The 27,112-nt window shown below is 37.4% G+C and overlaps 1 protein-coding gene across 33 annotated transcripts in view, besides 2 other annotated features; it reads left to right on the top strand.

Annotated features, from left to right (window-relative positions):
• The window catches only part of C12orf42 (chromosome 12 open reading frame 42), a 516,167-nt gene that overhangs the window by 73,995 nt on the left and 415,060 nt on the right, over positions 1-27,112 (top strand). For 26 of the 33 annotated variants that reach the window (XR_001748690.2, NR_170332.1, NR_103526.2 and 23 more), the window contains one exon: positions 11,349-11,447. Coding sequence is in view for 17 of the 33 variants with exons in the window: in XM_017019281.2 (XP_016874770.1) it covers positions 11,349-11,447 (99 nt within the window). In the remaining 16 variants the exon portion in view is untranslated. Of the gene's footprint in view, positions 1-11,348; positions 11,448-11,731; positions 11,876-12,789; positions 12,926-13,355; positions 14,285-21,081; positions 21,303-27,112 lie in introns of those variants that run through there. The other 7 variants (XM_017019280.2, XM_017019279.2, XM_017019277.2 and 4 more) reach the window with 5 other exon arrangements.
• Positions 18,895-19,034: an enhancer, noted in NCBI's record as "active region_6892". NCBI's record gives its function as "activates an Ori minimal core promoter by ATAC-STARR-seq in GM12878 lymphoblastoid cells {active_cell/tissue: GM12878}" and the evidence as "EXISTENCE:reporter gene assay evidence [ECO:0000049][PMID:35858748]".
• Positions 26,993-27,042: a silencer, noted in NCBI's record as "silent region_4778". NCBI's record gives its function as "represses an Ori minimal core promoter by ATAC-STARR-seq in GM12878 lymphoblastoid cells {active_cell/tissue: GM12878}" and the evidence as "EXISTENCE:reporter gene assay evidence [ECO:0000049][PMID:35858748]".

The following is a 27,112-nucleotide window of genomic DNA, read 5'->3' as shown; positions in this document are numbered from 1 at the left end:
CTTAGCAACCGGCAGACCAGGAGATTTTCTCCTGTGCCTGGCTCAGTGGGTCCCATGCCCATGGAGCCTTGCTCACTCTAGCGTAGCAGTCTGAGGTCAACCTGTGAGGCTGCAGTGTGGATGGGGGAGGGGCGTCTGCCATTGCTGAGGCTTGAATAGGTAAACAAAGCAGCCGGGAAGCTCAAACTGGGGGAACCCACCATAGCTCAGCAAGGCCTACTGCCTCCATAGAGGCACTTCTTTGGGCAGGGCATAGCTGAACAAAAGGCAGCAGTAACGTCTGCAGACTTAAACATCCCTGTCTAACAGCTCTGAGGAGAGCAGTGGTTCTCCCAGCACGGTGTTTGAGCTCTGAGAACAGACAGACTGCTTCCTCAAGTGAGTCCCTGACCCCTGTGTAGCCTAACTGGGAGACACCTCCCATTAGGGGCTGACAGTCACCTCATACAGGTGGGTGCCCCTCTGGGATAAAGCTTCCAGAGAAAGGATCAGGCAGCATTATTTGCTGTTCTGCAGCCTCTGCTGGTGATACCCAGGCAAACAGGGTCTGGAGTGGACCTCCAGTAAACTCCAACAGACCTGCAGCTAAGGGACCTGACTTTTAGAAGGAAAACTAAAAAACAGAAAGGAATAGCATTAACATCAACAAAAAGGACATCTACACCAAAAGCCCATCTGTAGGACACCAACATCAAAGACAAAAGGTAGCTAAAACCACAAAGATGGGGAGAAACCAGAGCAGAAAAGCTAAGAATTCTAAAATCAGAGTGCCTCTTCTCCTCCAAAGTGTTGCAGCTCCTTGCCAGCAATGGAACAAAGCTGGTTGGAGAATGACTTTGATGAGTTGACAGAAGTAGGCTTCAGAAGGTCTTTAATAACTTCTCTAAGCTAAAGGAGTATGTTCAAACCCATTGTGAGGAAGCTAAAACCCTTAAAAAAAGGTTAGACGAATGGCTAACTAGAATAAACAGTGTAGAGAAGACCTTAAGTGAACTGATGGAGCTGAAAACCATGGCATGAAAACTTCGTGACACATGCACAAGCTTCAATAGCCAATTCAAGAAGCGGAAGAAACGGTATCAGAGATTGAAGATCAACTTTATGAAATAAAGCGAGAAGACAAGCTTAGAGAAAAAAGAGTAAAAAGAAATAAAAAAGCCTCTAAGAAATATGGGACTATGTGAAAAGACCAAATCTATGTTTGATTGGTGTACGTGAAAGTAATGGGGAGAATGGAACCACGTTGGAAAACACTCTTCAGGATATTGTTCAGGAGAACTTCCTCAACCTACCAAGGCAGGCCAACATTCAAATTCAGGAAATACAGAGAACACCACAAAGATACTCCGCAAGAAGAGCAACCCCAAGACACACAATTGTCAGATTCACCAAGGTTGAAATGAAGGAAAAAATGTTAAGGGAAGCCAGAGAGAAAGGTTGGGTTACCCACAAAGGGAAGCCCATCAGACTAACAGCAGATATCTCGGCAGAAACCCTACAAGCCAGAAGAGAGTGGGGGCCAATATTCAACATTCTTAAAGAATTTTCAACCCAGAATTTCATATCCAGCCAAACTAAGCTTCATAAGTGCAGGAGAAATAAAATCCTTTACAGACAAGCAAATGCTGAGAGATTTTATCACCACCAGGCCTGCCTTACAAGAGCTCCTGAAAGAAGCACTATACATGGAAAGGAACAGCCAGTACCAGCCACTGCAAAAACATGCCAAATTGTAAAGACCATCAGTGCTATGAAGAAACTGCATCAATTAATGGGCAAAATAACCAGCTAACATCATAATAACAGGATCAAATTCACACATAACAATATTAACCTTAAATGTAAATGGGCTAAATACCCCAATTAAAAGACACAGACTGGCAAATTGGATAAAGAGTCAAGACCCATTAGTGTGCTGTATTCAGGAGACCCATCTCACATGCAGAGACACACATAGGCTCAAAGTAAAGGGATGGAGGAAGATCTACCAAGCAAATGGAAAGCAAAAAAAAGGAGGGGTTGCAAGCCTAGTCTTGAATAAAACAGACTTTAAACCAACAAAGATCAAAAGAGACAAAGAAGGCCATTATATAATGGTAAAGGGATCAATTTAACAAGAAGAGCTAACTACCCTAAATATATATGCACCCAATGCAGGAGCAACCAGATTCATAAAGCAAGTCCTTAGAGACCTACAAAGAGACTTAGACTCCCACACCATAATAATGGGAGACTTTAACACCCCACTGTTAATATTGGACAGATCAGTGAGAAAGAAGGTTAACAAGGATATCCAACACTTAAATTCAGTTCTGCACCAAGTAGACCTAATAGACATCTACAGAACTCTCCACCCCAAATCAACAGAATATACATTCTTCTCAGCACCACATCACACTTACTCTAAAATTGATCACATAATTGGAAGTAAAGCACTCCTCAGCAAATGTAAAAGAACAGAAATCACAAGAAATTGTCTCTGAGACCACAGTGCAATCAAATTAGAACTCAGGATTAAGAAACTCACTCAAAACTGCACAACTACATGGAAACTGAACAACCTGCTCCTGAATGACTACTGGGTAAATAACGAAATGAAGGCAGAAATAAAGATGTTCTTTGAAACCAATGAGAACAAAGTCACAACATACCAGAATCTCTGGGACACATTTAAAGCAGTGTGTAGAGGGAAATTTATAGCACTAAATGCCCACAAGAAAAGCAGGAAAGATCTAAAATCAACACTCTAACATCAAAATTAAAAGAACTAGAAAAGCAAGAGCAAATAAATTAAAAGCTAGCAGAAGGCAAGAAATAACTAAGATCAGAGCAGAACTGAATGAGATAGAGACACAAAAATCCCTTCAAAAAATCAATGAATCCAGGAGCTGGTTTTTTGAAAAGATCAATAAAATTGATAGACTGCTAGCAAGACTAATAAGAAAAGAGAGAAGAATCAAATAGACTCAATAAAAAATCATATAGGGGATATCACCACTGATCCCACAGAAATACAAACTACTATCAGATAATACTGTAAACACCTCTACACAAATAAGCTAGAAAATCTAGAAGAAATGGATAAATTCCTGGACATATACACCCTCCCAAGACTAAACCAGGAAGAAGTTGAATCTCTGAATAGACCAATAACAGGCTCTGAAATGGAGACAATAATTAATAGCCTACCAACCAAAAAAAGTGCAGGACCGGATGGATTCATAGCCAAATTCCACCAGAGGTACAAAGAAGAACTGGTACCATTCCTTCTGAAATTATTCCAATCAATAGAAAAAGAGGGAATCCTCCCTAACTCATTTTATGAGGCCAGCATTATCCCGATACCAAAACAAAAAAAAAAGAGAATTTTAGCCCCATATCCCTGATGGACATTGATGCAAAAATCCTCAATAAAATACTGGCAAACCGAATCCAGCAGCACACCGAAAAGCTTATCCACCATGATGAAGTCAGCTTCATCACTGGGATGCAAGGCTGGCTCAACATATGCAGATTAATAAATGTAATCTGTCACATAAACAGAACCAATGACAAAAAACACATGATTATCTCAATAGATGTAGAAAAGGCCTTTGAGAAAATTCAACAGCGCTTCGTGCTAAAAACTCTCAATAAACTAGGTATTAATGGAACATACCTCAAAATAATAAGACCTATCTATGACAAACCCACAATCAATATCATACTGATTGGGCAAAAACTGGAAGCATTCCCTTTGAAAACTGGCACAAGACAAGGATGTTCTCTGTCACCACTCCTATTCAACATAGTGTTGGAAGTTCTGGCCAGGGCAATCAGGCAAGAGAAAGAAATAAAGGGTATGCAATTAGGAAAAGAGGAAGTCAAATTGTCCCTGTTTGCAGATGACATGATTGTATATCTAGAAAACCCCATCATCTCAGCCCCAAGTCTCCTTAAGCTGATAAGCAACTTCAGCAAAGTCTCAGGATACAAAACCAATGTGCAAAAATCACAAGCATTCCTATATACCAATAATAGAAAAACAGGGAGCCAAATCATGAGTGAACTCCCATCCACAATTGCTACATAGAGAATAAAATACCTAGGAATACAACTTACAAGGGATGTGAAGGACCTCTTTGAGGAGAACTACAAACCACTGCTCAACAAAATAAAAGAGGACAGAAACAAATGGAAGAACATTTCATGCTCATGGATAGGAAGAATCAATATCATGAAAATGGCCATACTGCCCAAGGTAATTTATAGATTCAGTGCTATCCCCATCAAGCTACCAGTGATTTTCTTCACAGAATTGGAAAAAACTACTTTAAAGTTCATATGGAACTAAAAAAGAGCCCACATTGCCAAGACAATCCTAAGCCAAAAGAACAAAGCTGGAGGCATCACACTACCTAACTTCAAACTAAACTACAAGGCTACAGTAACCAAAACAGCATGTTTCTGATACAAAAACAGATACATAGACCAATGGAACAGAACAGCGGCCTCAGAAATAACAGCACACATCTACAACCATCTGATCTTTGACAAACCTGACACAAACAAGAAATGGGGAAAGTATTCCCTATTTAATAAATGGTGCTGGGAAAACTGGCTAGCCATATGTAGAAAACTGAAACTGGGCCGGGCACGGTGGCTCATGCCTGTAATCCCAGCACTTTGGGAGGCCGAGGCGGGCAGATCACGAGATCAGGAGATTGAGACCATCCTGGCTAACATGGTGAAACCCCGTCTCTACCAAAAATACAAAAAATTAGCCTTGCATGGTGGCGGGCACTTGTAGTCCCAGGTACTCAGAAGGCTGAGGCAGGAGAATGGCATGAACCCAGGAGGTGGAGCTTGCAGTGAGCCGAGATTGTGCCACTGCACTCCAGCCTGGGCGACAGAGAGAGACTCCTTCTCAAAAAAAAAAAAAAAAAAAAAAAACTGAAACCAGATCCCTTCCTTACACCTTATACAAAAATTAATTCAAGATAGATTAAAGACTTAAATGTTAGACCTGAAACCATAAAACCTTAGAAGAAAACCTAGGCAATACTGTTCAGGACATAGGCATGGGGAAGGACTTCATGACTAAAACACCAAAAGCAATGGCAACAAAAGCCAAAATCGACAAATTGGATCTAATTAAACTAAAGAGCTTCTGCACAGCAAAATAAACTACCATCAGAGTGAACAGGTAACCTACAGAATGGGAGAAAATTTTTTGCAATCTACCCATCTGACAAGGGGCTAATATCCAGAATCTACAAAGAACTTAAACAAATTACAAGAAAAAAACAACCCCATTGAAAAGTGGGCAAAGGATACTAACAGACACTTCTCAAAAGAAGACATTTATGCAGCCAAGAGACACATAAAAAAATGCTCATCACCACTGGTCATCAGAGAAATGCAAATCAAAACCACAATGAGATACTGTCTCACACCAGTTAGAATGGCGATCATTAAAAAGTCAGGAAACAACAGATGCTGGAGAAGATGTGAAGAAATAGGAAAGCTTTTACACTGTTTGTGGGAGTGTAAATTAGTTCAACCATTGTGGAAGACAGTGTGGCGATTCCTCAAGGATCTAAAACTAGAAATACCATTTGACCCAGCAATCCCATTACTGGGTATATACACAAACGATTATAAATCATGCTACTATAAAGACACATGCACACATATGATTATTGCGGCACTATTCATAATAGCAAAGACTTGGAACCAACCTAAATGTCCATCAATGATAGACTCGATTAAGAAAATGTGGCACGTATACACCATGGAATACTATGCAGCCATAAAAAAGGATGAGTTCATGTCCTTTGCTGGGATGTGGGTGAAGCTGGAAACTATCATTCTCAGCAAACTATCACAAGGACAGAAAACCAAACACTGCATATTCTCACTCATAGGTGGGAACTGAACAATGAGAACACTTGGACACAGGATGGGCAACATCGCACACCAGGGCCTGTCATGTGGTGGGGGCTGGGGGAGGGATAGCATTAGGAGAAACACCTAATGTAAATGATGAGTTGATGAGTGCAGCAAACCAACATGGCACATGTATACCTATCTAACAAACCTGCATGTTGTGCACATGTACCCTAGAACTTAAAGTATAATAAACAAGAAAGAAAAAAAAGAAAAATAAAAAAAACATAAACCTGACATAAAAAATTCAGCAAAAAAACGGCTGCTTGATTCAACTTTTACTGTGGGAGGGGTGAAGAAAAATCGTAACCATAATTTTCGTAACTACAAGCCAGCTCTCATAAATGCTTGAGTCCTTATGCCATGTTTTTGAGGGTCTGAAAAAAAATTTCAACTGGAGAATTTAATTTAAAATGGCCTGAGGCTGGATCCTTTCTGGGAAACTGTGAGTTAAACACAGGCCTTCGAGAATTTTCTTAAATTTTTTATTTTTTTAGAGCTGTTTTAGGTTCACAACAAAATTGAGAGTAGAGTAGACACATACCCCTTATACGCTATGCCCCTACACATGTACAGTGTTCCCCATTATCAACAACCCAATCCAAGTGGTACGTTTGCTACAACTGATTAACCTACACGCATCATCACCCAAAATCCATAGTTCACATTAGAGTTCACTCTTGGTGCTTGGAATTTTACATATAAGGTTCAAACTAAAATGAGAAGCTCACTGTCCAAAATCACAATACCCACAAGCAAAGAGGTAGTCTGAGAGACAACAGAAATAACAGACACCAATTTTAGACCTGCATAGATTTTTGATATTATATGAAATTAAGTATATTTACTATATTGAGAGGAAAAATAAGTTCAAAACTATAAGCAAGAAACAGATGCATAAAGTAAAATCAGTCATATTGTAAAAATAAACTTATAGAAATATATTTAAATTAAAAATTCAATAGGCAAGTTAAATAGTAGATAAGAAGAACCTGAAGAAGAGTTTAATGAACTGGAATGTAAATCTAAAGAGATTATCCAGTGGCTAGAAAGATGGGAGACAAAAAAGAAAAAATAAACAAAAAGAATAAGTGAAAAGACATGGAAAATAGAGAAAAAGGTCTAACAAATTTAATCAGAATTCCATAAGGATAATAGAAACATAAGTTGAGAGGTAATATTTAAGGAGATAACGACTGAAACCCTTCTCAGAATTATTCAAAGATATATATCCTAACATACAGGAAGTCCAGCAAATCACAGACAGTACGCATAAAAAACAATTCACATCTAGATTCATGAAAATGAAACTAAAAATCCACATTCATATACACACAAAAGATCTTAAGCCACAGAAGGGACAAGCGAGAAGACTAGAAACAAAACAAAATAAAGCAAAATGCAAAACAAAACCCAAAACACTGTAGAGAATAGGCATTGGCAACAGACTGACTACGATCTTTACAACAGAAATAATGAAAACTATAAGATGGTGGAATAATACCTTAAGTGGACTGAGAGAAAATAATTGTCAACCTAGAACTGCACACCCAGCAAAACTATATTCAAGTGCAAGGATAAAATAAAGACGTTTCCAAACAGACCTGAGAGTTTACCACCAGTAGACCCTCACTAAAGGTGATTGTAAAGGATTTTCCTTAAGAAGGAAAAATGTAATCCCAGACAGATTTGAGATGCAAAAAAGGCTGATTATGAAACATATTGATAAGTATGTGCATAAATCAAAATAATAGTTGACTGCAAAAAATTAGAACAATAATAGTGACGTCTAACTTGTGGGGGAAAAGAACAGCAATTTAGGCAGCTAAAATATTGGACAACAACAGCTTTGAATTTGGCAGTGGGTGGTCCATGTTAAAGAACCTTGTTTTATTTACAAGAGTGTTAAATTTATAAAATACTTAGATTGTAAGTTAGTATACATGTTTTATTATAAAGGTAAAATTGTATGAATAACTTCCAAGACGTAGAGGGGAGAAACTAGAAAAAGAAAAAGAAAAAATAATTTAGTCAATTCTAAAAGTGTAGGGAAAAAAAAAACCCAAACAAAAAACAGAAGAACCAGGACACGTAGATAAGTAGAAAGCACATACAAGATGGTAGAAATTAAGTCCAAATATATCCATTATCACAATAAACAGAAAAGGGCTAAACTTCTTAGTTAAGGTTGTCAGACGGTATTTTTTTTTTAAAGTAACTCGCTTTATGTTGATTTTAGAAAACACACCCCAAACCATAAGGAACAAAAATGTTAAAAGTTCAAGTATGGAAAAAAATATGTAGTAAACCCCCAGGAAATTGTAGCCCACAAAAATACCAATAAAAAAAGAATTTAGAAAGAATGTCTTCAGCATTCGACTTCTGTCCTTCCCTTTACTTTTAAATAGGGACAGGCTAGATTTATTTTCTTCTGTTGAGAGATGAGTAGGATTAGGATGTGACAGACTCTTGATCATTTAAGACTTTTCCTGTATGGTATACATTTCTTCAGTTTCTTAGAGGACAAGTTTTTCCTTATTTACTTTTGGGATTTTTTCATGATAGAACAGAGTAACTAAAAATATTTCTTCAGCCACATACATAAACCCATGTTTTATTTTTGGACATTACTTATCACACTATGGCATAGGTTTTACTGTGTTAGCAAAACTAACAAGAAAACTGCTATAGCTATATTAACATCATACTAAAGACTGTCTAAGGAAAAAAATTGGTAGAGATAAAGAAGAAAGCTATATAATAAAATGATTTATTAAGAAGATATAACTCTAAACTTTAATGCAGCTAATTATAAACTCTCAAAATTATAAAAATTGACTGAACTACAGAAAAAAATAGAAAGACCCAATACATTAGTGGGAGATTTTAATATATCTCTGTCAGTAATTAACAGATGAAGCAGATAAAAAATCAAGGGATATAGATGATTTGAACATAATTAATAGGCTTGATCTAATGAACAGTTATAGATTACATCCAATAATTCAAAAATATTGAATCTAAGCACATATGAAATATTTATTAAAATTGGCTACATGGAGACTATAAAATTCTCAATAAATTTCAGAGAATTGATATCAAACAAATCTTATTTTTGAATCAAAATGTAACCAATTTAAAAATTAATAGCAAAAAGATAATTGGGAAATAGCATACATTTAAACAACATATGGGTTAACGAATCAAAATGCAAATTCAAAAGCATTAGAAATGAGAGATAATAAAAGCATTATATTTCAAAACATTGGAGGCAGGGAAAGTAGTATTAGAAGAAAATACACTTATTTAAATACATTAGAAAAGAAGACTAAACAGTGAATTAAAAACACAAGAATAGCAGAATAAGCCCCCAAAATGTATAGGAAAGAGAATAAATAATTTAAAACAAACACCCCCCACAGAGAAAAATGAATGAATTAGAAAATAAACATATAAAAAGAATCCACAAATATAAAAGTTTGTGCTTTGAAAAAATTAATAAAATTGACAAGACTGTGGCAATATTTGTCAATAGAAAAATGAGAAATGCATTATAAATAACATTAAGAATTAAAACAGGGACATAATGGAATAGAATTGTTTATGCTGAATAGATAAAAATATGTGTGTATTACATATGTTTTAAAGTCAATGAATCTGGAAATCTAGGAAATAAAATAATTTATTTGAAAAATGCAGTTTACTAAAACTGACACAAAAAGAAATAGAAAATATAAATAACCCTATAATCATTAAATAAATTGAATTAATAGTTTAAATTTTTCCCACAAAGATAACATCAGAATAAGGAGATTTTTACCAATATAGTTATTCAGATATTTAAGGGGCAAGTAATTTAAATCCTATACAAACTATCAGTGGTTAGAAAAAGAGAATATTCTCCAAATGTTTTGCAGCTAGCATAACTTTGACACTAAAATAAGGTAAGGACATTATAAAGTGGAAAAAGGCAATTTCACTTGTGATCATTGAAGAAGAAAACAAAATAAAATATTAACAAACAAAATTTAGCACCATCCAGCACTGTACTAAAAATAAAATACGTTATGACTGCGTTGTTTTTTATCTCATGAATGCCTGGTTCATTTAATATTGGAAATTTTGTTAATGTAGCATCACTTCAGCATCATTGAAAGGAAATATACAATCTTCTTAACAGCTGCAGAGGAGATAGTTAATAGAATTTACTATCTGTCTCTAATTTAAAACCAAAAACTTCTACAAACTAGGAATAGAAGAAAAATTTACTTGATAAAGACATCTACAAAAATATTAAAATATGACAAATATCATACTTGATGGGGAAATGTATGAATTTCTGTTAACATCAGGAACAACCAAGCATATCCAACTTCTGTGAAGACTGAAACTTATACTATTTTGGGGGCTCTGATTCATGAGTGTTAGTATTTACTGACCTGTTGATATCACCTCCTCTTATTTTTTGCAACTCCACACCTAGTCTTCTTTTCTTTTTCAACCCTTTAACACCTCTGTAACCAATATTCCTTGCCTTAACTTCCTATTGATTGAACTATCTCAAAACTCAAGCCTCAGAACTACAAATAAGAAATTATGTATTAAAATTGATATAAGGAAGAATGCACAAAGAATATTGGAGACTTAGAGATTAGGTCTTTCTATTCTGAGATCTTTTAAAACAATTTATTGGAAATGCTTCCCAATTTCACTAGGCTTCCCTTTCTATACCTAGAATACTCTGCAAATCCTAATAACTCCTGAAACTCACAGGGGCCTGTGCAAATGAGGGCCTAAGTTTTATTTGCTTCTTGAGGACCTAAGCTATATGTTTTAGAGATGTAAACTAGTGCAATAAGACGAAAACTCAAAGTTCAAAAATTTGAATAAAAAGGAACAAAGCCATTACTATTACTAGGTGATACAATTGTTCACATCAAAATCCCCAAATAATCAACAGACATATTTTTTGGAATTAACTAGCTTGCTGTTTTAAAACAATGTATAAAATTAAATTGCATGTCTATACTTTGGAAATGATTAGAAAGATGATTTAAAAGACATCATTACAGTGCAACCCCCACTTCCCCCAACCAACCAGCCAACCAAAGCAAGCACCACCTAGGATTATATCTTGCAATAGATGATCAAGAACTTTATGCAGAAAAGTATAGAATTTTATTGAGGCCAAGGTGCGAGTATTGCTTGAGTCCAGGAGTAGTTCAAGACCAGCCTGGGCAACATAATGTGACCCTGTCTCCCCCAAAAAAAAAAAAAAAAAAAATTATTGAAAGTCACTGGCAAGAAATACTATGTTCATGGATAGGATGATTCTGGCTCTTAAAGATGTCATTTTTTTCTCTAATATTATCATTGCATCATTGTAAACCTGCTCTTCTTTCTCCATTCTTTGTTTATAGGGAGTTGAACTTGTCAAATTAATGTCTACAGTGATATGTATGAAACAAAGGGAAGAAGAATTCTTGCTAACCATCAGACCTTTTGCAAACAGGATGCAGGTAATGCATAAGAGATACTATATTTTCTTACTTTTTTTAGGTTAATAGGTTTGCTCCATTTCAGCCACTAATTGTGATTCTTGATTCAGTGTCATTGATATTATATTTTAGATAATCCTCTTAGTTTCCATATTTATCCATACTCACATCATTGTAAATTATAGCATAATTTTAAATGCCTTCATAAATTATTTTTTTCCCACTATTAGGGACACATTACATTTATGCTAGGAAAACTTAGAAATGTGTTGTCTTTGCTATTATTTATTTCTTATGTTACTAAGGTAACCCCACACCATTAGGATTGAGGCACATGTGCTCACTTTAAAGCTGCTGGTATTGTTCCTAAGAAGTTGCACAAGCCTGGGCTTTTAACTGAAGACAAACTTTTCACTGACATATAAAAAACTACAAATGCTCTGGTAATGGTAAGAATGATTCTGTATTAGTTCTCTGTTGCTGCTGTAACAAGTTACCACAAACTTAGTGGCTTAAAACAGTACAAGTGTACTATCTTCCACTTAGTTCTGTAGGTTCAGAAGTCTGAAACAGGGCTCACTGGGTTAAAATCTAGGCGTTGGCAAGGTTTCATTCCTTTCTATAGACTTTAGAGGAGATTCTGTTTCCTTCCCTTTCCAGCTTCTGAAGGCTGTCTGAATTCCTTGACTCCTGTTGCTTTTACTCCATCTTCAAAGCAAGTTACAGAGGGTTCAGTCTTCCTCACATCACATCATTCCAACCTCCTCTTCTGCCTCCCTCTTCAACCATTATATTGGATTATATTATACTGGATCCTGGATAATCCAGGATCATCTCCCTTTCTCAAGGTTCTTAATCACATTTGCAACGTTCCTTTTGCCACCTAAGGTAATGTTCACAGGTTCTAGGCATTAGGACATGAACATCTGGCCAGGAATGTGGGCAAGCTCTCTAAATTCCTGTCCCCTTCCCCTGCTTACTTTACTGTGGCCACATTACCACCCACCCTCCAGACTTGGTGCTCACTTACTCTTCTCTTGGAGTAGAACACTTTCACCGAGAGATTCTTATGGCTTACTCCAATACTTTGTTCATATCTCTGCCCAGAGGTCCTGCCATGACCACTACACCTAAAATCTATCCTGTGCTTTCTAATCTTACCATGTATTGTTTTTCTTCATAACACTTCCCACTCCTCTGTGGCTCCACTTCTGAAAAGTAAGCTCCTTTAGGGTAGAAACTTGGCCAGCTTTGTTCCCCTGTGTTACTCAGGGTCTAGCTCAGTGTCTGGTACATAAGAGCTATGATGCATGAATGAATCAATTTTTAAATTTCATCCCTTAACATCACATTTTTTTTTCAGTAAGCTGGATCACAGTGAAATCTCTATAATTTGAATTATGAGTTGAATTCAAATTGAAGTATGAAATCTATGGCCATTGTACTTTGTTATTTCACTAAGAGTGCTATATGAGTAGCCAGATTTACAACTGACATCAGTAAGTAATACTCAATGTGATATATTAAGTATCCTTCTGTAAATACCCTACTATTGATTGTATTATTTTGCAGTAGGGATTGATAATAATAGTGATGAAGAAAATTAGCATCATCTTTGCTAGCATTTATGGACAACTTGCTATGTGCCATTAGTAAGTTCTTTACATTATTTAATCTTCTCACTCCATGAGGTCATAAAGTACACATTTACTCTTTTGTCTGCCCAAGAAAAGTATCCCCCTTACACAACACTTCTTTTAGGAAACTGCTTCTCTCCATTCCCACCAAGTGGTTTTGGAAACAGCCCAAGCACAATCCTTTGGCCTCTTGGCTATCAGGATGGATATATGAACCAGTCTGGACCAATCAGAATCCTTTAGTGGGAATCCAATAGTTAACACGTAATCCATATCAAGCCAGAGTTCTTCCTCTCAGTTTTTGGACTCATTATGGGAAGAGAGAGTTTCTTTTCCTCTTGGGTCCAAAAATGGCAAGGATATAGCCTGGAGCTGCTTGTGGTCTGTGGCGAAGTGGACAGAGGGAATGGATCAGGGACAGGAGTCAGATGTCCTGACTTATATAGTATGTGGTCTCATTTTCTCCATTTTATATATGAACAAACATGTCTCAGAGCTGTTATTTTCCGCAGGACAAATACCTTGTAAATAGCTAGTGAATGGTGGGGATTTTACCCCACATCAGCCTGCTTTCATTATCTATGTTTTCTTTAAATTTGCTGTATGCTCTGACATCCTAGCCACTTACTCTTTCCATACTTCCTGCTTTCTGAAAACACACAGCAAGGAAATGCACACTCTGTATTTCTAAAAAGGTGTTTCTTGGACAGTTGTTGCTCATCTGTACATCTTGTACTTGAATATGTTCACTTGAGGGTCTAGGGCTGGAATGACAAACAGGCCCCATCTTTCATGTTAATCCCAGGAGAATAAAGGTGGCTACCCACAGCTTTGTGTTGAGAAAGATTCTGAGGCTTCATCTGGCCTAGCAGAAAAGGAGGAAAGTGAAATAAGAATATAAGCTATTAAATTTGCTCAAAATGTTTGATAATTCAGATTGCCTTTTGGAAATACAGAGTTATACTTTTCAGCATCCAGGAAGTGTTGAACCAAGGACTCTTGTTTTTCAGTTCAAAAAATACTTTGTTAGCCCGGGACTCAACTTGTGTACCAAACCAAATTCCTCAACGGTCTTTTCACTGTGGAATGATGACATCTTCTAATGAACATCTTCCTTTGCAAAATGCCCAGACAGTTCTATGCTGCAATGATAGGAACAGCAACATGACCTGAATTTAGATTCTGGAACTGAGTGTCATTTATTGGGACCACTCTTTTTCGGTGAGAGAGATGTTAAATCACAGCCACCCTGAGAAAATTGTCATGCACTGGTATTGTTGAACATTTTCTAACAATCAGATTGGGCCTCACATTTTGTTGGTTGGAAGTTCCATTTCTTCATCTTTGGTCCAAGTTACTTAGCAATGACCAATCAAACTATGTGCCCACCATATTGTTTTGCATGTTTGACTAGAACATTGACAGATTAATAGGAAGGGTAAATAGCAGAGCACAACTGTGGGGGCCCAGTGTGGGGCAGCAGGATTGACTGCTCTGGACTTTGTTGTGTTTGCTCAGAGGAAGCCGCGGCAAAAGCCTGCTGGGATGAGGTGACCTGGGTCATGGGCATTTGTTTTTTGTCTCTATAGAAAACAATTGTCTTCTCAATGGAAGATGGCTTTTTTCTGAATCTACATGGTTCCACCAATGAGGAAGCATTTGCCATTCCAGGGTGCTTGCTAAAACACAGACATGCAAATAAAAAGGCCACACAAAAGTTCAAATTTACTGTATTTTTTCAGAGAATCCTTTGACTTATGTTAACCAGGAGAGAAGCCTAACTTTGGAAAATTTATCTTGAGGGTCTCTAAAACTTTGTCTATTTACTGCTAATTCCCAATATTTGATGTTTAGAATTTTGTGAAGTTTCAAAATCCAGCTACCTTTCCTTCTCCCACAGTTCATGAAGGCAGAACCCATGAACATGTAGCACTGTTGATTTTGTAAACCCTGGCTTTGGTAAAAATTTATTTTGATTTCAAAATTGCTCTACTCTGAATTGATATGAATGAAATACATTAATAATAAAGGAAAATCTACTTTGGGTAAGATTTAATTAATCAAAAGTGGTGGCTTGATTTAAAAGCCAGAGCTATGTTTCTGGTTGATAGATTTATTTGAGCATGACTAATTTTACATTTACAAACTTATCATGGTTCTTTAGAAAAAGGTTTACTTTTAATAAAAGACTCCAAAGTGTTCCACATGGATTTTTGATGAATTATTCTTGATCATTCTTGATGTATTTTATACACACACACACACACACACACACACATACATACATACATGTATACATACATACAGGCATACATAGAGACAGAGATCAAGAATATATATATATATATTCAATCAGCCAGACTCTCTTTCTGATCTGGTAGGAATGAAGAGAGGGTCAAATGGCACTCTACAATTTTCCGTTTTGGTAATTTTAATTCTACTTTGTCATGTCTGACTGGTGCTGTTTTCCAACTTTTTCTTCCCCTTCACTTTCTCTTCTCTTTACTCCTTTACTTTTTTGTGTCTGCCTTCCTAGAGCTTAGGGCTTAGGAAAGGCATGAAAGTGTTATTGGTGGTGGTTGTGGAAACAATTTTAGTTTCTGGCTGCCTACTTCAGGTCCCATTGAGCTTTTTCCACTTCTAAAACTGAAAAACCACCATGGGATGGGGTGGTGGATGGTGATGTACTCTAAACAATGAACCAAAACCCCGTCAAAACTCAGGGAATAAAAACCTCTCAGTGGCATTAAAAACTAAGACTAATCTGAGTATTAAGAAAAATCAAAACATCTGCACTGATATGATATCCTTTTTATTCATTTAAAATTAACCAGTATTTATTATGCACATCCTCTGTGCTACTCAGAGGATAGTTTCTGCCCTCAGGGAGCTGAGAGTCTTGGGTTGAGGCATGGGGAAAGATAATTATACAAAGAAATACAATATGGCATTCCCAATTCCCCATAGTATTAATTATAATACAGGGATTGGGAGTGAGCTCAGGAGACTGGTACCAACTCTATGTTTTCAAGACACTGGAAAATGCATGTGGTTTTGTGGCTCTTTATTAGACTAATCTCATTTGCAAGGCATAAAACAAATAACAATTGTCTAGCTGATGCCTGTACTATAGAAACATGGTAAAACTTGGGAAAGAGCATTGGACTGTGAGTTTTGTAGGGCAGAAATTGCACCTGTCACATTCACTGTATGGAGTGAGACTGGCACTCCATGAATATCTGTGGAATTAATGGATAGATAAGAAGCCTGAGGACTGTAGTTGCCACTTACTGGCTGTGTAGCTTTTAGCATGGCCTGGGGTCTCTCTGACTATCTGTTTCTTCACCTATCAAATGGCTCTGCAATACCTGTCCATGTCACAGTATTATCATAGGATCAAAGCCTATTGGTTTAGCATCCACTATATGGGAGGCACTAATCTTAAGGATTACATGTGTTGACTCATTTCATCTTCATAACAAAAATAGGAGGCAGGTACTATTATAATTATTATTTCCATTTTACAGATGATTATGTGTCATTATTTTGTCAACTGTAAAGTACTGTATTAATCAAAGAAATGGCATTGTAATTATTATTTCTAATGTTCTAAAAGGCAAAAGCATGCAGATACCCACTATGAAGTTCTGTCTCTCATCTGACTCTGTGTCTGTCTCACACTGCCTTCCTCTGAGATTTATAGCATGAGAATATTTTGGGCATCCATTTTAATTAAGGATCTTTGGATGATGCAGAACTAAAAGCCCTGCAAATCTCCTCCAGAAAGAAAGATATATCTTCATTTTGAATATGTGTGCCCTGGAATTGGAACCAAAAAGCCACCAGGACCTGCTGCCATGCAAGAGATGAGCTTCTCTTTGACTCCGTCTTCCCCATGGGTACAGGGCCTCTCCCTGCTTCTCTCTGAATGTGTGTTCCATTCTTTTTTCCCTTCCACATGGCTTCTTCTGTTCCTTTATCATTGTGGTTTGTCTATAATTGCTATGGCCTTTCCATCTCCAGTGCTGTCTTGTGCACTTTTAGTTCTACTCTCACAATTCTTTGGCTTATTTTCCCATCATTCTAAGTGCTGAGATTGGGCCAGCTAATTTTCTCATGCTCTGCCATATCACAATTCTTTGGTCAGCTGATGGTCAGAAAATCTAGAGCAAGGAGGGCAGGCAGTGTCCTGAGCTGTGAGCCTGGTGAGGGCTGTGGCCAGGGTTGTTCTGTCCAACAACTGAATATAAAATATAATTGAGGTATCAATTTTATTGTTTGCTAAATGTACCAAATAGGGCTTTTTATTAAATAGTCTCATATTAGAATTTGTGAATAGAGATTTTAAGGCTTGTTTCTAATTTTAAAAATTGAGTTGTGGCTGGGTGCGGTGGCTCACGCCTGTAATTCCAGCACTTTGGGAGGCCGAGGCGGGCGGATCACGAGGTCAGGAGATCGAGACCATCCTGGCTAACACGGTGAAACCCCGTCTCTACTGAAATTACAAAAAATTAGCCTGGCATGGTGGCGGGTGCCTGTAGTCCCAGCTACTCGTGAGGCTGAGGCAGGAGAATGGCGTGAACCCGGGAGGCGGAGCTTGCAGTGAGCCGAGATCACACCACTGCACTCCAGCCTGGGCGACAGAGCAAGACTCCATCTCAAAAAAAAAAAAAAAAAAAAAAAAATTGAGTTGTATTAAAACTTTTTGTTTTTAACCTGTAGGTAGTGACCTTCAGTTTATAAGAAGAAAAGAGTTTTGAGGTAATGACCTCTCAGATTTTAAGTCAAATGGGAAAAGGTAGTGAAGTGAATGTTTAAAGTCTCTGTGTTGTGATCAATTTGCAGCAGGTTATACAATCGATTTCGTGGGTTACTATCTACATTTTTAAGAAAGAGAAATAGAATGGAAAAATAGAGAGGTCAATGTGCTATATACATGTCAAGATGTTTCTTGTTTCCTGATACTTTTATTTCAGTTATATATATGTGGGTATTTATTGGCCATGATGTAAGATGCATTTCTTACCATGGGGTGTAGACCAAAAGCTTGTAAGCTACCAGTGTAGAGGTTAAAATCTGGGTTTGGGGTCCTTTGACCCTGGGTTCAAATCCTGGCTGTACCATTTAGAGGCTGTGTTACCTTACAACTCCAAACCACAGTTTCCTCTTCAGCAAAATATGTTAATATGACTTACCTCATACAATCAAGATGCTAAATCAATGTAAGCAAACTGCTTAACATACAACTCAACATAGCTTATTTTTGTTATTTTAAATGAAATTGACCTCTGTTGGCTGTTTAGGTTAAGTATGGGAAGTTTCTGGAAATGCTTTACATCAGAGATGTGGGTACGAATTATGAGCAAGGTTAGGAAGTAGAGGAAAAATACAGAGCAGAGAAAACATCTCAGACATTTTAATGCCAACAGGAAAATCCATTTCTAGGTCCTTTCATGTGTTCTAGGTGACTTTCAAGTCTCTTTTTCAATGCAACCATGAAACACATTAATATTATATATTGTATATATTATATGGATGCACTGATCCAATCCACAGAGATTCTGGGAAGAATGATGGGGACACTGGTAGCCCACAAGTTGAGTAAGGAAATGAAAAAGTGGAGAGTAATCCAGTGAGACATGATCTATTTCACCTCTTTTTTGCTGCACAACAAATGCCCCAGAACACAGGAGTATAAAACAACAATCATTTTATTATGCTCATTAATTGTGTGAGTCAGGAATTCAGACAGAGCACAGTAAGGATGACTTGCTTCTGCTTCATGATGTCTGAGGCATTCACTGGGCAGACACAAAGGCTGAAGTTGACTCAGATGGCTGGGGACTGGAATGATCTGGAAGCTTCTTCTCTCACATGTTTGGCACCTGGGCTGGGGTGATTCAAAGGCTGCATTCAGCTGGAACTGTAAATCAGCACATCTACTCAGGGTCTCTCTCTGTGGTGTGAACTTCCTCATAATGGCCTCAGGGTATTGGTGCTTCTCACAGGTTGGCTAATATCTCCAAGAACAAGTGTTCCCAAAAGAGAAGGAGGAAGATGCATTGCCTTTTATCACCTAGACTCGGAAATCACATAGCACCACTTCCATACTCTATTGGTCAAAGCAGTCACAAACCTGCCCAGATTCAAGGGGAGGGGACAAAGATCCTTTCTCTCATTGGGAAGAATTGAGAATTGCATGTAAAAAATTAAAAAGGAAGTTTTAAAGGCGTGGTAACAAGCAAAATCTTTAGTTGTGGCCTTTATACCTTCATGTTCTCACCATGAATGAATCACAGACAACTCGGGTAGAGACCACGAGGAGTCATTTATATTTTATTATAGATGGTCTCTTGAGATATCTTCGGAATGGACTGAGCTTCCTAGTGATACTTTGCTTTGGTTAATTCTGAAACAACTTTGTATTTCTTGACTTTTCCCCTCCAAAAGTTAAGGTTAAAAAGCTGCCAGATGTCAGGACCACCAGCCTCGGACAGTGTGAAAGCATTGAAAAATTAGTGAGGAAAACAGCTTTATCAAACCACAGTTAAAAGTCTCCTCCGCCTCTCCATTCTTTCTGCATTTTAAAGCAGGTTCTATCTTACTAAAAATCTCTTCTTAGGAACGCTGGGATGGGAAATAGAATTCTTGGGTTTTAGTCCTGAGTTCATCACTACAGAGTGGCCTGGGCAAACAATTTCGCCTTCAGTATATTCCATGCTCTTTGAAGTCACTTTTGGTATTCAGTGACTCATTTTATGGCTTTCTAAATGGCCCAAATATGTTAATTTTATGAGCAAACTGAGCTATATATAATAACTTTTGTACACATAAACTGAAAATGTGACTTTCGATCTGTCATTTTACCAGTCAAATTAGCACAGATTAAAAACTCAATGTTGGTGAAAGTGCATTAATAAAGGCCTCTCCTACCACGTGGCTGAACACACTGTCTAATCGATGTGGCTTTTCTGCAGAGCAATTTGACTTGATTTTATGTATCAAATATGTTGAAACATCCATGCCCGTTGATTCCACTTATCCCTTCTGAGAATCTATCTTAAAAACCTAATTAGAGTGGGAGACCAAGATTTCTGTATAAGGATGTTCACTGCTATGTTATTTATAGTTATGCAATAATGGAAATCACCTATATTGTCTAATAATGGAAACATTTTATAACTTACAGTGCATACAAATAGTGATATTATGTGGCCAAAAAATCAGATTTTCTTAAAAAAGTATTCATACACAATAAATTTGCATAAAGTAATTAAAGTCTGCATGGAGAAAAACTGGCAGGAACTGCATCAAGATGTCTAGATACAATTATTGGTGCTTTTGTCCCCATTTGGAGGTCTTTCTGTTTTTCAAAAATCTATAATGAATGTGTATTATTTTTATAATCAGAAAAGAAAATGAATGATATTGATGTATGTTTTTACACATCATTTTCTTTTCTTTGTGTTAAAGCCTGCCTCCAAAAAAGAGAGCTTGAAGGTTCATGCCTTCCTGAGTTTAACACTCACAAATGCTGTGCCTTCTGCCCTGCCCCTTCCCAAGCTCCCTGCTCCCTTTAACACCAATTGGACGTCCCATACTGGGAACTGGATCTGAGATGTGACGGTGGTGTGAGGCTGAGAAAGGGAGTCAGCCAGGAGGTCAGGTGTGAGCCAGGAGGTCAGGTGTGAGATCTTCTGGTGGTTATGCAGTCCTACAGGCACTAGGCCGCCCAAGGCCTGCATGTGGCCCTTGGTTGAAGGCCTCAAATCTACAAGGCTATTAGCTAGATTTTACTGGAGTAAATTACCCCTGCTTTGCAAGAACATTAACAAATTACCATGAAAATGCTGTCATCACCAGCACAAATGTCTCTTAAAGGCTCACTTCAGTGGGTTTCTTTGGTCCCAACTCAGTAAGATTCACTTGTTAGTTCTACAAAAAGGGAAAAATGAATCTTGAGGTAATTTGCACTTGGGTGAATTCATCGACCCGTTTTTTTTTTTCTTTCCCCATAGGGTTTGTTTTGTATCCAGGCTTATGCACAACTTTTGTAAGCAGCAATAGCAGTTTTGTGGGCACTTGAAATGGGAGAGAATTCTAAAGTCGCTGCCTCCTGTTAAACACCAAGAATGGGGAGGATTGCCTCTTAGTCCAGAGTAAAAGATATCTGAATTAAAAACAATGAGAATTTTAACTTTAAAAGTCTGATTCTGGAAACAACTACAGGCTACAACTTGTATGTATTATAGTTTGCATTTTGAAGCTTACTAGTTTGGTTAATAAAATTACATAGCCATCCTATGAATGTAACTATTACATGCATTACGTTTAGAGTCCTTAGACGATACACACCCAGTGAGTCCTAAGAAACCATGCACAGGTTACATTTGGAATCCAGAATGGCAGGTCCCAAATATTAGGGTGAAAACTATGTACATCAATTCCTCTTTGAATGTTAGCATTTTATAACTGTCTGATCATTACATCTAATTAAAATTTGAAAGCAGGCTCAAAATCAGGAAGGTGGTTAAGAAGTTTATTAAGTAATGATATTTAACACAAATTTGTATAGGCTGAATTTACATGATCAATTAGAGTTTGTTCTTAGAATGACTCACATTCAGAAATAAGTTATTTTCCAAAGCACAGCATATGAAACTTTATCTATTTTGGATTTATTAATTAAGGTTTGTTGTTGGTACAAATTGTTTCCATTCTGAAATAGATGCAACTGGTTAGGTCAGTCAGAGACCCAGGTAGAAAAAGAAAATCTAGCTTTCCTTGGTTGTTTTCTAATCTGCATATAGGTAGAATACCCCACAGGAGGGCTAAATATGTAAAGAAAAGAGAAAAACAAGCCCTCCCACCCCCAAATGGATACACAGAAATTCACTAAAATACAAAGAAGTTTGGTTTTTAGTAATGTCAGAAAGTTCCCCAAATTAGAATAGCTAGATCACAGCATACATGAGGTTTTGTGTCATTGAAAAACAAATCTTTTAAATTACTTATGGCAATGGGCATCATGATCTTGTTAATGCTTTGAGTCTCAGGATATCCTAGTCCAGTCCTCTAAAGTCCTCTTGATATTTGGGCTTCTAAAATAGAGACCATTTACTGAAGTGCGTTGGCCCAAGAGGAAATATAGCAGACATCAACCCACCTGTTCTACCCTCCAGCGGGTCCTGAGGGCAGGACCCTCACTCCTACCATCAGGAATCTGCAGGCTCAAGGCTTGACTTGGGATGGGGTCAGTGCTTTCCTCTAATTGTATCTGGAGATGGGAACAGTTCCAAAGTGCACTGTGTGAAAAATTTATATCCATCAGATCGTTTTGCAGCAATCTCCTGTTTTTCAACAGGGGTCTCTGGAGCAAATACCTTTCTCCCCAGTCCCTATCCTCCCCATTAATACAATGAAGGATATTCTAAGTTGCAATATACAATGGTTATGTAATGATTAGGTCAATATGTGCATATTTAATAATTCTAGTAAATAGCAAATCTTAATTTTATAAATAAAATTCTTGTAAGTACATGGGATCTCATCAGTGATATCCACAGAGAAGGAGAATGCTTTTTTACATAATATTATCCAATATGTAACAGACAATTTACAGCGGTAAATATTTATTTTGCTCAGGTGTTTGAGAGGTTCAGCTACTTTGGTCTGGTTCTCAGACTCTCATGGCTCCCTCACATGTCTGTGGTCAGCTGTGGGTCCACTAGACAGCAAGGCTGATTTTGGCTGGGGTGTGTTGGCTGTTGACTGATCCAGGATGGCCTCGTCTGGGAAGACTGGGTGACTTGGCTCTGCTCTGTCTTTCACCCTCTAGCAGGCTAGCCAGAGCATATTCTCATGGCAATGGCAGAGGGCAAGACTGAACAACTCCAATAGTGCCTCCCCTTGAAGCCAATGCTTGTGTTTGCATTTGCTAGCATCACATTGGCCAAAGCAAGTAACATGGCTAAGCCTAGATTCCCAGTGGGAGTTGCCACAACGTTATATGGCAAAGGGATATGGATGCAGAGACAGGTGAATGACTCCAGCCCTAAATGCAATCAGTGTACCACATGGGGTAATGTTTTAAAACATTATATGATTTATTTTGCAATAAGAGAGAGGAAGAGAGGAAGATGGAGAGGAGAGAGAGAGAGAGTCAGGGAGAGACAGAAATCTGTTTCTTTTTATAACCTATTATTAAAAGTGATAAACAATTACTTTTGCTGAATTTATTCATTAGAAGTGAGATATTACTTCTAGCTCATACTTAAGGGAAAGTGTTACCCAGGGTGTGAATCTGAGGAGTGAGGGATGGATCAGTAAGTAGTATCTTAGAGGCTGCCACTACAAAACCCTCTGGGAGACTCTGATGAGCACCAAGTTTTGGGAAATATTGAATTACTGTAAGAAGACAAAGGGAATATTCCGAAAAGACTTGAGGATGTAGAAAATTTTACTCACGACACAGTAATAAATAGCTTACCAAACAAAAAAAGCCCAGGACCAGATGGAGTTAAAGCTGAATTCTACCAGAGGTACAGAGGAGCTGGTACTATTTCTTCTGAAACTATTCCGAACAACTGAAAAGGAGTGACACCTCCCTAAGTCATTTTATGAGACCAGCATCATCCTGATACCAAAAGCTGGCAAAGATACAACAGCAATAAAGAAAACTTCAGGTCGATATTCCTGATGAACATCAATGCAAAAAAACTCAATAAAATACTGGCAAACCGAATCCAGCAGCACATCAAAAAGTTTATCCACCATGATCAAGTGGGCTTCATCCCCAGGATGCAAGGCTGGTTCAACATGCACAAATCAATATACATAATTCATTACCTAAACAGAACTAAAGACAAAAACCACATGATTATCTCAATAGAGGCAGAAAAGTCCTTCAATAAAATTCAACATCCCTTCATGTTAAAAACTCTCAATAAACTAGGTATTGATGGAACATACCTCAAAATGAGAGCCATTTATGATAAACCCACAGCCAATATCATACTGAATGGGCAAAAGCTGGAAGCATTCCCTTTGAAAACTGGCACAAGACAAGGATGCCCTCTCTCACCACTCTCGTTCAACATAGTATTGGAAGTTCTGACCAGGGCAATCAGGCAAGAGAAAGAAAGAAATAGTATTCAAATAGGGAAAGAGGAAGTCAAACTGTCTCTGTTTGCAGATGACATGATCCTGTATCTAGAAAACTCCATCATTTTAGCCCAAAAGCTTCTTACACTGATAAGCAACTTCAGCAAAGTCTCAGGATACAAAATCAATGTGCAAAAATCACAAGCATTCCTATACACCAACAATTGACAAGCAGAGAGCCAAATAATGAATCATCTCCCATTCACAATTGCTACAAAGAGAATAAAATACTTAGGAATACAGCTAACAAGGGAAGTGAAGGACCTCTTCAAAGAGAAGTACAAACCACTGCTTAAGGAAATCAGAGGATACAAACGTATGGAAAAACATTCCATGCTCATGGATAGGAAGAATCAATGTCTTGAAAATGGCCATACTACTCAAAGTAATTTATAGATTCAGTGCTCTTCCCATTAAACTAACATTGACATTCTTCACAGAATTAGAAGAAACTACTTTAAAATTTATATGGAACCAAGAAAGAGCTCGTATAGCCAAGACAATTGTAAGTAAAAAGAGTAAAGTAAAAAGAACAAAATAAAAAGTAAAAAGAACAAAGCTGGAAGCATCATGCTACCTGACTTCAAACTACACTACAAGGCTACAGTAACTAAAACAGCATGGTACTGGCACAAAAACAGACACATAGACCAATGTAACAGAATAGAGATCTCAGAAATAAGACTGCACATCCACAACCTTCTGATCTTTGACAAACCTGACAAAACCAAGCAACAGGGAAAGGATTCCCTATTTAATAAATGGTGCTGGGAGAACTGGCTAGTGATATGCAGAAAACTGAAACTGGACCCCTTCCTTACGCCTTGTACAAAAATTAACTCAAAATGGATTAAAGACTTAAAAGTAAAACCCAAAACTATAAAAACCCTAGAAGAAAATCTAGGCAATACCATTCAGGACATAGGCACTGGCAAAGATTTCATGATGAAAACATCAAAAACAATTGCAACAAAAGCAAAAATTGACAAATGGGATCTAATTAAACTAAAGAGCTTCTGCCCAGTAATAGAAACTATCATCAGAGTGAACAGACAATCTACAGAATAGGAGAAAATTTTTGCAATCTATCTATCTGACAAAGGTCTAATATCCAGAATCTATAAGGAGCTTAAGTTTACAAGAAAAAAAAAAACCCCATTAAAAAGTGTGCAAAGACATGAACAGACACTTCTCAAAAGAAGACATTTATATGGCCAAGAAACATATGAAAAAAGCTCAATATCACTGATCATTACAGAAATGCAGGTCAAAGCCACCATGAGATACCATCTTATGCCAGTCAGAATGGCAATTATAAAAAGTCAAGAAATAACAGATGTTGGTGAGGCTGTGGAGAAATAGGAAGGCTTTTACACTGTTGGTGGGAAGGTAAATCAGTTCAACCATTGTGGAAGACAGTGTGGTGATTCCTCAAAGACCTAGAGCCAGAAATACCATTTGACCCAGCAATCTCATTACTGGTTATATACCCAAAGGAATAGAAATAATTCTATTACAAAAACACATGCATGTGTGTGTTCATTACAGCGCTATTCACAATAGCAAAGACATGGAATCAACCCAAATACCCATCAATGATTGACTGGGTAAAGAAAATGTGGTACATATACACCATGGAATACTATGCAGCCACAAAAAAGGATGAGATTGTTTCCTTTGCAGGGACACAGATAGAGCTGGAAGCCATTATCCTCAGCAAACTAACACAGGAACAGAAATTCAAACACTGCATATTCTCACTTATAAGTGGAAGGTGAACAATGAGAACACATTGACACAGGAAGGTGTCTGTCAGGGGCTGGGGGCAGGAGAAGGGAGAGCAAATAGTTAATGCATGTGGGCTTAATACCTAGGTGATGGGCTAATAGGTGCGGCAAACTACCGTAGCACATGTTTACCTATGTAACAAACCTGCATGTCCTGCACATGTATCCTGGAACTTAAAATAGAAAAAAATTTTACTCATGAGGTACTATGGATTCTAGAGGGTACAATGGAAAGTTTTAGGGCTGTGGCTTTGAAACACTTTTGATAGCATTCCACATTTGGAAATACAGTTTTCATCCCATCTTAGTAACACCTCCTCCCAAATTGCATATAATAATATTTATCTCACTATATGTGATATACATGGATACTAAATTTCCTATTCTAGTCTACTCTATTCTACCCCATTTGATTCCATTCTAGTCTGTTTAAATAATTGGTATTTGAGTCTGGCCAAATTAACCTCATGATGTGTCACATGGTCACAACTAGTAGTTATAAAATATTTATTTAGGGAAGTTAAGGAGAACTAGAAGAGGAAGGGTTCAGATTGTGAGATAGAAAACCTTAACCCCTCAATTAGTCTTGATAATCCTGGCCCTGTAATAGTCCAATAGCTACGAGTTACTAAGCACTTACTATGTGTTAGCACTGCAGTAAGCTTTTATGTATATACTTTGTTTCTGTTTGATTTTAAGAGCGATCCCATTATATATCAGTCTCCTTTTCAGTTGGAAATGAGGGAATAGTTTCATTAATACAGCGGAAACTGAGGCTCAAATAACTTAAGCGTTTTGCTGAATTACACAAAGATAGCAAGTGACACAACCTGAATTTAAACCTACCAGGGGTAGTTCCAAAAGCACAGCTCTTAGTCATTGCTGTGATCTTGTCCAGGATGCTGCCCAGACCATGGGGAAGTGAAAAACAAAAGATGTGAATGCATTATTATTATTCTCCACAGATAGGGTTTAATGAGTAATCAGAGCAATGACCCTACCATTTGTTCTTGAATATTTAGCCATCATACTGACGGTGCTTTAACTGATGTGCAGACATGCCTAGATTTTCTATTCCTTTTCTGATTTTACTCCTTAA

Source organism: Homo sapiens, chromosome 12 (assembly GCF_000001405.40).
Source record: "Homo sapiens chromosome 12, GRCh38.p14 Primary Assembly".
NCBI lineage: Eukaryota > Metazoa > Chordata > Mammalia > Primates > Hominidae > Homo > Homo sapiens.
This window is presented reverse-complemented; position numbering and strand designations above follow the sequence as displayed.